The 9,321-nt window shown below is 41.3% G+C and overlaps 1 long non-coding RNA gene across 1 annotated transcript; it reads left to right on the forward strand.

The window, feature by feature from the left end:
- Nucleotides 1-274: 274 nt before the first annotated feature.
- Nucleotides 275-5,618, forward strand: LOC101928618 (uncharacterized). The gene is made up of 2 exons (NR_108089.1): nucleotides 275-341; nucleotides 3,953-5,618. It is a non-coding gene; the product is annotated as an uncharacterized LOC101928618 (long non-coding RNA).
- Nucleotides 5,619-9,321: the final 3,703 nt, after the last annotated feature.

Genomic DNA, 9,321 nt, shown 5'->3' on the forward strand with positions numbered 1-9,321 from the left:
AAGTATCATCACCCCCATTTTAAAGGTCAAGAAATTGAGGCACAGATTGGTGAAGCGATTCACCCAATGTCAGACAGTGCGCAACGAATTAGCTAGGATTGTATCCCAGATCTGTTTAGTGTCACCCAAGTTAGTAGTAACACCCAATGACCTCTGATGGCGGTGGTGATGGGTGCCTCTGTTCTAGAAAGAATGTGTATCTAATTTGCATCATAAAGTGATTGATGCCATCAGCTGTGTTTATGCCATCAGTTAGTCTGTATTGATCCAGGGCGTATTTTGTGCAGATGGGGACCCTGGGAAGTTAGCAGCAATGGAGAAAAGCGTGGAATGCTCTCCAGGTATTAACACCACTGCCACCGCCACCCTGGCCATGGAACACTGCACAGGGAGAAGGCAACAGAGCAAAACAAGCATATTGCATTTCTCCAGCTGCTCCGGAAGTCCTTGGGACAGGAACCATGTGTGTTTAGGAGAACACCTCCATAAGCCTTTGGAAGCAGAAAACAAGAGCCTGTGGGCTTGAGCTGGAAGAAGACAACAAAGAAATGCTAGACCACCTTACGTTAGAAAAAAGTGCCCTAATGGGGGCCAGAAAGGCAGAGTGAGGGAAGAGAGAAGGAAGCGGGGAAAGGGATAACAGCGGGCAGGGGAAATGTGGCAGGAAGGACAGCCCAAGTGGACATGTCCAAGACTTCAAAAAACCAGACTGTACTCAGTTTGTACCCCTGTCCTTTATAGCATAAATCTCCATAGCCCCAGAGTTTCAGCACAGCTGGAACACACACAGGGGTCTTGAATGCAAGGGCTGTGTGAGGGAGGGATTGTGTGTGTGAGGGCCTATGTGTGTAGTGAAGTGTTCGTAGACAAATGTTCAAAAGAGGATGCTCAGATCATTACCGATGCCCTGTGTTGTTAAGAGTTTATCATCTGTGAATCGAAGGGTTTATAACAGGATAATGACAGAAACGTGAGTTTAATACAATTTTTAAAAGATGTTTCCTAGAATGCTGTATACACAATGTGCTGAACAATATTATTTCAGTGAACGTAGGTCATGTATATAGTTGTGTATGTGAGAGTATGTACGTGTGTGGGAGTGTGTGTGTTGTGTGTATGTGTGTGAGATTGTGCATGTATGAGTGTGTGTGAGTGGTGTGTATATGTTTATTAGTGGGTGTGTGTGAGCATGTGTGTGTGTGAGCGTGTAAGAGTGTGAGTGTTGAGTCTGTGTGTGTGTCTGAAGCTGAGGTCAACATCTGGGCTAGATCAAAAACCTAATTGAGGAAAGCATAGTGGAGTGGAAGCAAGAAATATTATTCCTGGGGCTTCACCAAAATCTAAAATTGGGCACTGATGGGGTGGGGATTTGAGATCCTCTTCTCTAGATCTTGGAGGGCAGGTGGTCCCCTCTGACATCCGGGTTGGAAAGGGGAAAGTAGCACTATTGAGCATGCCCTGGGCCCCAGTCCCCATGGCTGTGCCACACACATTATCTCATCTGCTTTCCCCACAATCATACGAGATGAGTATTTTTTTGCCCACTTGGTAAAGAAATCAAGGCTCAGTCAAAGAGGTTAAACAACTGGCCAGTAGCGAACAGCTGTTAAGAACAGGATTCCTCTGATGTCACAGCCCCTGCTGATTCCCTGCTTCCCCTACACGCCACCCAGTCCCACCTTGCTGTGATATTTCTCCCACTTTAGTCCATTTCCAGAACATTTGGCATAGGCAAGTCGAAGACAATTGGCTGGCAGTCCTTGTGTCTCCGCAATGCAGTTGCCCAGCTCGGTTTCCTCCCACAATCTCCTCTTCCTTTCCTCTTACCCCTTTCCCTGTCAGGGCTCTCATTGAAGCCAGTGGAAAATTACTGACCTAGTCATTGGCTCCTGCATCTTAAATGGAGACATTACTGCTCCCTGCTGCCCAGATTGTCCCTGAACTCTTGACCAAATATGTGGTAGCTGCTTTTAACTGTGACCTCACACATCAAGTGAAAATGCTAGAGACAAATACATATTACCTTTTTTCCCTGCATCTTCCACAGAAATTGAGAGAAAAACATCTTAATGGAATTGATTAAATAGATGAGATGACATTTTAAACACTTGACCATAGGTAAAGTAGTGGGTTATGCAAACTCATTTTAATGTGTTGGCCATCTGACTGCCACCAAGGCATAGCTACTTGTTTTTTCTTGGTAAAGTGCAAAATAACTGTCAAGCCAGATCTCTAGGTGATAATAAGCATCCAATTATCACTAAAAATGGAGTCTGGTCCAGGACACCTGCCAGTCCTTGGAGATTCAAGTAGAACTCTATGTGCTGGTTCAGCTACACCGAAGAAGGGAAACAAATAAAAATGGTGATTTATGAGTGCCTCCTTTGTGCCAGTCACTGTGCTAAGCATGCTACATTCATAATCTTATCCTATCTACAGAGCAGGGTGGACACCATTGCTATCCCCTTTTTGCAGAAGAGGGGATTAATGCCCAAGGTCACAAGCTTATATGTGTCTGGGCTCATCCAGTTCTTCACCTCCTCAACATAAGTTAGGATGGCACTTTCCTGATCCTTTGATGTTAGTAACCTGTCACTTCCAGGTAAAACTAGTTTCCTCATCTGCAAATGAAAAATAGTATCTATCCTGCAACCTGTTTGGAAGATGTATTAGCCTGTTCTCACATTGCTATAAGGAACGACATAAGATTTATGTATGAAAAGAGTGATTTCTGAAGAAAAGAGTTTAATTGACTCACAGTCCCACAGGCTGTATGGGAACTATGGATGGGAAGGCCTCAGAAAACTTACAATCATGGTGGAAAGTGAAGGGGAAGCAGGCACATCTTCATAAGGTGGCAGGAAGGAGACAGAGAGCAAAGTGTGAAGTGCTACACACTTATAAACAACCAGCTCTCATGAGAACTCACTCACTATCATGAGAATAGCAAGGGGGAAGTTTGCCCCCATGATCCAGTCAATTCCCACCAGGTCCTTCCTCCAACATTGAGGATTAGTTTGATATTAGATTTGGGTGGGGACACAAATCCAAACCATATCAGAAAATTTAATGTAATTATATATATATAATAATGTATATAAAAACATATAAGATAGTGCATGGCTTAATAAATGTTAGTTATTATTTTAATGATAATGATTACATGATGTTGCTACTTGAGAATCTTCAGGAGCTTCCTTTACTTATTAAGTCATGACCAAACTTCTCAGTCAGACATTCCAGGCTCCAATTCCTCACTGATGCTTCTGTCATGGTTCAGGCTACCTTACTTAGCTCCTGGACTCTGTTGGGTGGGAGGAATAGGAAGATGAAGGCAGGAACCAGCACCTGAGAAGACAGGAGCTGCTTCAAGTAGCTTGGCCTCAGGAGTGACCCATCATAGTAGTGCCTGCCTCAGCTAACCCTTAAGGTGGCCCAGGAGTCTCTATCCAGCAGAAAGAACACAGCTATTGGAGGCAATCCTGGCAATTAGCATTGGTCATTATGCCTGTTGCTGAAGGCAAAGTTTTTTAACCATTTATAGTGTTGGATTAAGACATATATATTGGAGTTTTTGTTCTGGGCAAGGTGGAGTAAGCACACCCTACCCTGTTTCTCCCACAAAATGCAAAAATGAACCCTGGACAGACTACATTGAACAGCTATCTAAGGACCATGACAAGTAAACAGGAGCAGGTGAATTGGGGAAAGAGATCAGAATATGAAGTACCACCAAAACCACCATGAATCTCTCATCTTTTATCCCCTCTTGTATCATCTGGCCTGGACTCATTAGTCTGGCCTGGATGTGCACACCAAAAGCAAGCAGGGCTCTAAAAAGAATCCTCACTTTCTGGTCCAAGGTGGTTGTGGGGACACCTAAGAGTTATAAGAAGTGGAGAAAGTCCCTGGTTTTTAAATCTTTTTTCACTCTTGCCCACCCAACCCCCAGGTAATCCCATAGTGGCAGCAGTAACAACAATGGCAACAGCAGCCTGGAGAGCACCGAAATACTTAAAGCTCTGAGGGAAGCGAGTCTTCCCTCCACTAGAGAAGCTGTGGTCCCAAGAGGGTGGGACAAAATACCATTCCCTTTTCTCTCTCTCTGTTCATACACTGCCTGGTGGGACAGACTCAAGTATAGCCATGAGATGTATGCAGCAAGGTAGGAAAACTAAAGACCTAGCTTTCTAACCAGAGGACAAAAAAAATGGGGCTTCAGTGGGCCAAAAATGCCAGAATAATCTCAGAAAGGAGACTGCTCAAGAGAGCAGTTCCATATTAACTCCGAGGCTTACTTCTAAGCTGCACATGGTGTGAGAACTGAACTGTGCATGAGACTATGATCCAGGCCACCAAATGGCCACTGGGCAACATACACACAACAGATTCCCATAGCACTGCAAAGGCTTTGAAAACTGAACTGATATTAGAACCACAGTCCACAGGAGAACTCGAGTCTGGAGCCTAATTAGACTGATTGCTTGCAAAAACAAAACAAAACAAAATTCAAAATTCGCTTTAGGATTTAAACAAGACATGGATCCTCATAATGTAATATTCAAAATGTTCAGGACACAATCCAAAACTACTTGACATATGAAAGACAAGAAAAACTTCAACTTATAGGGAAAAGAACAATCAACAGATGCCACCTGCAAGATGACACAAATGTTGAAATTATTAAAGATGCAAAGGCGACTATTATAAACATATTCCAAGAAGTAAGGGAAAATTCTCTTGAAACAAAAAAGTCTCAATAAAGACTATAGAAGATACAAAGAAGGACAAAAGAGAAACTTTTTGGAACTGAAAATTACAATGACCGAAATAAAATATTCCCTGGATAAGATCAATAGCAAAATAGAGAAAGTCAGTGAATTGAAGATTGAATAGAAATTATCCAATCTGAACAAAAGGAAAAAATTAAAAATTAATGAACAGAGTATTGGAGGCATGTGAGACAATACGAAAAAGTCTAATATTCATAGTGTTAGAGTTCCAGAGGGAGAAGGGGAAGAATAGGATGCAAAGAAACAAACAAAACCCAAAGGAAACCGTGCCCAGATGCATCGTAATTAAACTGCTAAAAACTAGGGCAAAACATCTTGAAAGCAGCCAGAGAAAAATGATACTTTATATAAAGGGAAACATTGACTTAAATAACTGTGGATTCCTCAGGAAAAAAAAGTAGGCCAGAGGAAATGGAATAACATTTTTAAAGTGCTGAAAGAGAAAAAACTGTCAATCCGGAATTCAATATCCAGTGAAAACATCCTTCAGGAACGAAGATGAAATAAAGACATTCTCAATGAATGAAATCTGGAAGAATTCATCACCAACAGACATGTTCCAAAATCAATACTAAAGAAATACTTTTCCTCCTAAGATGCAGAACAAAGCAAAGATGTTCTGGCAAAGGAAGAATGAAAGTAATGGGCAAACAATCAGTGGTTGCCAGGGATTAGGGGTGGGAGATGTGTGACCACAAAGGGAAGAATGAGAGAATTTGTGTATGATGAACTGTCTGTATCCTATTGTGGTGGTGGTTACATGAATCTAAACATATGTTAAACCTTACCAAACTGTTATGCCCCAAAATAAAATTTAAAAATAAAGTTAAAATGATTGTGTATTTTTTTAGTGGCTTAAAACTACACAAGTTTTTATGTTATAGTTAAAAGTCAGAACGTGGGTTAGAAGTTCAACACAGGTCTCTCTGGGCTAAAAGCAAGGTGTTGGCAGGGTTGCATTCCTGTATGGAAGCTCTAGGGGAGAATCCCTTTCCTTGTCTTTCCCAGCTCCTAGAGGCCATTACATTCCTTGGCTTATAACATCTTCCTTCATTTTCAAAGCCAGCAATATCAGGCCAAGTCCTTCCCACATTGCCTCACTTTAACCTCCTCTTTTGTCTCCCTCTTCTGATTCTTCTTTTTTATTGAGGTGAAATTTACACAAAATTAACCTTTTTCATGTCCATTTTAAAGTGAACAATTCAATGGCATTTAGTACATTCACAATGTTGTGCAACCACAACCTCTACCTAGTTTCAAAACATTTTCATCAACCTGAAAGAAAACTTCATACTCATTAAGCAGTCACTCCCCATGTCCCCTACCCCAGTCCCTGGCAACCATCAATCTGCTGTCTGTCTTTATGGATTTGCCTATTCTGGGTATTTTGTGTAAATGGAATCATATGTGACCTTTTGTGACTGGCTTCTTTTGGAGGTTTTGATGGTTCATCCACATTGTAGCACATGTAAGTACTTCATTCCTTTTTATGCCTGAATAATATTCCATTGTATGTACATACCACCATTTGTTCCTCCATTCATCCTGTGTATTCATCTTTAAAATAAAACTTTAAAAAACTTTATATATGATGTCTCACCCAAGACCAATCAAATCAGAATCTCTGAAGGGTTAGAACCCTGGGTGATGGTACTTTTAGATCACCAGAGTTGAGAATCTCTGCTTTTATATAATGTTTTGGTCATCAATTTCTGCATAAGAAGCCATCCCAAAATGCAGTAGATTAAAGTAACAATGATTTTATTTTATCATGATTCTACAATCTGTACCAGGCTCAGCTCTGTTGTTGAGCAAGTAACAGATCCAATCCAGACTCTGCTAGCTTGCTGGTGGTCACTCATGTGAGTATATTGAGCCAATGGGTTGACTTAAGTCTGGATTCAACATGGAATGCGACAGTTGTGCTTCAGTCTCTCACCATGTCTCAGGGCCTCTCCCTCTCCTTGAGGCTACTCTACGTAATCTCTCCAGTAGAGTAGCTGGACTTCCTACACAGTGGCCCAGGACTCCCAAAGCATAGGAGCAGAGGATGCCATGACTCTACATCCTCATCCCAGAACAGACACGGTGTTCACTCCCACCACATTCTACCGTTAAAGCAAGAAACACATCCAGCCCAGACTCAAGGAGGGGCCTACACAAGGGCCTGAATACCTGGAGATGTGGGGAGGGGGATCATGACTCACTGGGGCCGCCAATGTAATGGACAACCGTATGCAACCTCTTGTGCAATGTTAATATATTTTCAGTAAAACCAAATAATTCACACATATAAAAGCAAACAGATGTCCAATGTATAGTAATGTAACTATAGTTAACAATGCTGTATTGCATACTTGAAATCTGCCAAAAGTGTAGATCTCAAGTGTTCTTACGTAGTCAATTCTGCAAGAGGATATAACAATTTTAAATATATATGCACCCAACACTGGAGCATCCAGATATATAAGGCAAATATTAGAGCTTAAGAGAAAGATAGGCCCCAGTACAATAGTAGCTGGAGACGTCAAGAGAGACTCTTACCAAAAAAAGGAAAGAAGGAAGGGGGGAAGGAAGGAAAGAAGGAAGGAAAGAAGGAAGGAGGAAAATGCTGACTATGTGAGGTAAAGCATATATTAATTAGCTTGATTGCAGTAATCATTTTGCAATGTATACATATATCAAAATATCAAGTTGTACACCTTGAATATATGCAATTTTATTTGCCAATTATACCTCAAAAAACCTAGGGGCTGGTGGGTGAGGTAAAGGCAAACATATTTTACATACAAATGATAAAACGAAGTGGATAAGTAAATGCAGCACACACTTACTGTCCTTAGCATCACGGTAAGTGAGATATTAACATTTTGAAAATGTTAGTTATATTAGAACTGATTGCTGGTGACCCTGGATGAATTCTGAACTCCTCCTCAATCAAGCGGACAGCCACATTCCGGAATTTTCTGAACATTGAATGGTGAATAATTTTTAACATTGATTTTATCTACTCACCTGTTTCCAGCTAATCACAGCCCTGGGTGACATCACAGTCCTGGCAGAAGAGCATTTTTATTTCACTTTTTAAAAAACCAACAACAAGCATGTAAATGAGCTCTAAGTCCTCTCTCTGTCCATGTGCAGTGAGAACAGGGCAGTTCTAAGAAGGTAAATGATGGGTGAAATTTTCTACAGGGCTCTGCCCTTGTTATGGGATAGGGTCTCCATCCTGACCTGCACTGGAGGAACCTGGAAAAGAACTGGGCCAGAGGGCAGTGAGAAGACAAGAGAAGAAGGAGCTGAAGCTTCCCCTCAGCGCCTCAAAACTCATTTCAAACTAGCCACTAAAGTTCTGAAAACACCTCAACCTCCTGTGAAAATCCTATCCCAGTATCCCCTGTATCCCTATGAGGCTCTTCATTTTCTATTACACAAGATGGGCCCAGAACCTTAAATGGAAGTGATACCATGCTTCTCATTCACTTATTCAAAAACTAGTTCTGGAGTCTGTATGCATAGTTTGTCAAGTAGCTAGGATTGTAGGGGTGAACCAGACAGATAACTACAACCCTTATGAAACAAACATCCAGCAGGATAGAAAGAAAATAAATACATAAAACAATCAGATGGCCAAACAGATTAAAACAGAAGGAAGCGCTGGCATTCCCTGAACACACCTGCTCCCTCATATACAGGGGCATATGGACAAGGACTTAACCAACCTCAGTTGGCTTATCTGTTAAATGGGCTCCCAATAGTACTGACTTCATGAGGTTGTGAGAATTTGCAAAATAATGTCTATTCAGTGGGATGACTGCAGTCTCAAACATGGTATATGATCAGTAACTGCTAGTTACTCTAATGATTAGTAGCAGTTTCTGAAGAACTGTATTTAAAATTGCTTCAAGATTCAGAGAAGTCCCCTAGCAAATATGAATTCCTCTCCCTCCACCCCACTGACTTCACGCTCTTTTCTAATGTATCCAAGCATTGATGATTTTATTAACTTTTAAGCTCATTTCTTTCTACTGAAACTCCTAAAGACCAGCCTCCTCATTAAAAAAAATATAACCCTTTAAAAGCAACTAAACGTGATCCTCCTAGTGTTTACACTGGGAGTGGAGTGTAGAAAGCCCTTGGGATCAGAAAAACCTAGATTTGAAAGCTGGCTCTGCCAATATTTGCTGTGTGACCATGGGCAAGTAGCTTAACCTCTCTGAGCTTCAGTTTTCCAATCCATAAAATGTGACTAATAACACATGATATTCAGAGATGATATGAGGTCAGCAAAGTACTTTTCATTAAGGTGGCTATTTTTGTTATTAATAGGTCACGTAATTCAGGATGTAAACAAAGGTTTATTCTGGGAACTGAATTAAGCAAGCCATTTAAGCAAGAAGGCTGCACAACACTGAAGTGGAAATAACTGATGGGAAGACAATCATCCTCCCAATCCTCTCATTGTGCAAGACAGGGGGATCCCCAACCATGGGGTTACTGAGGGTTCAGAACAGAGGACCCTTAAATA

Source organism: Homo sapiens, chromosome 7, assembly GCF_000001405.40.
Source record: "Homo sapiens chromosome 7, GRCh38.p14 Primary Assembly".
Taxonomy (NCBI): domain Eukaryota; kingdom Metazoa; phylum Chordata; class Mammalia; order Primates; family Hominidae; genus Homo; species Homo sapiens.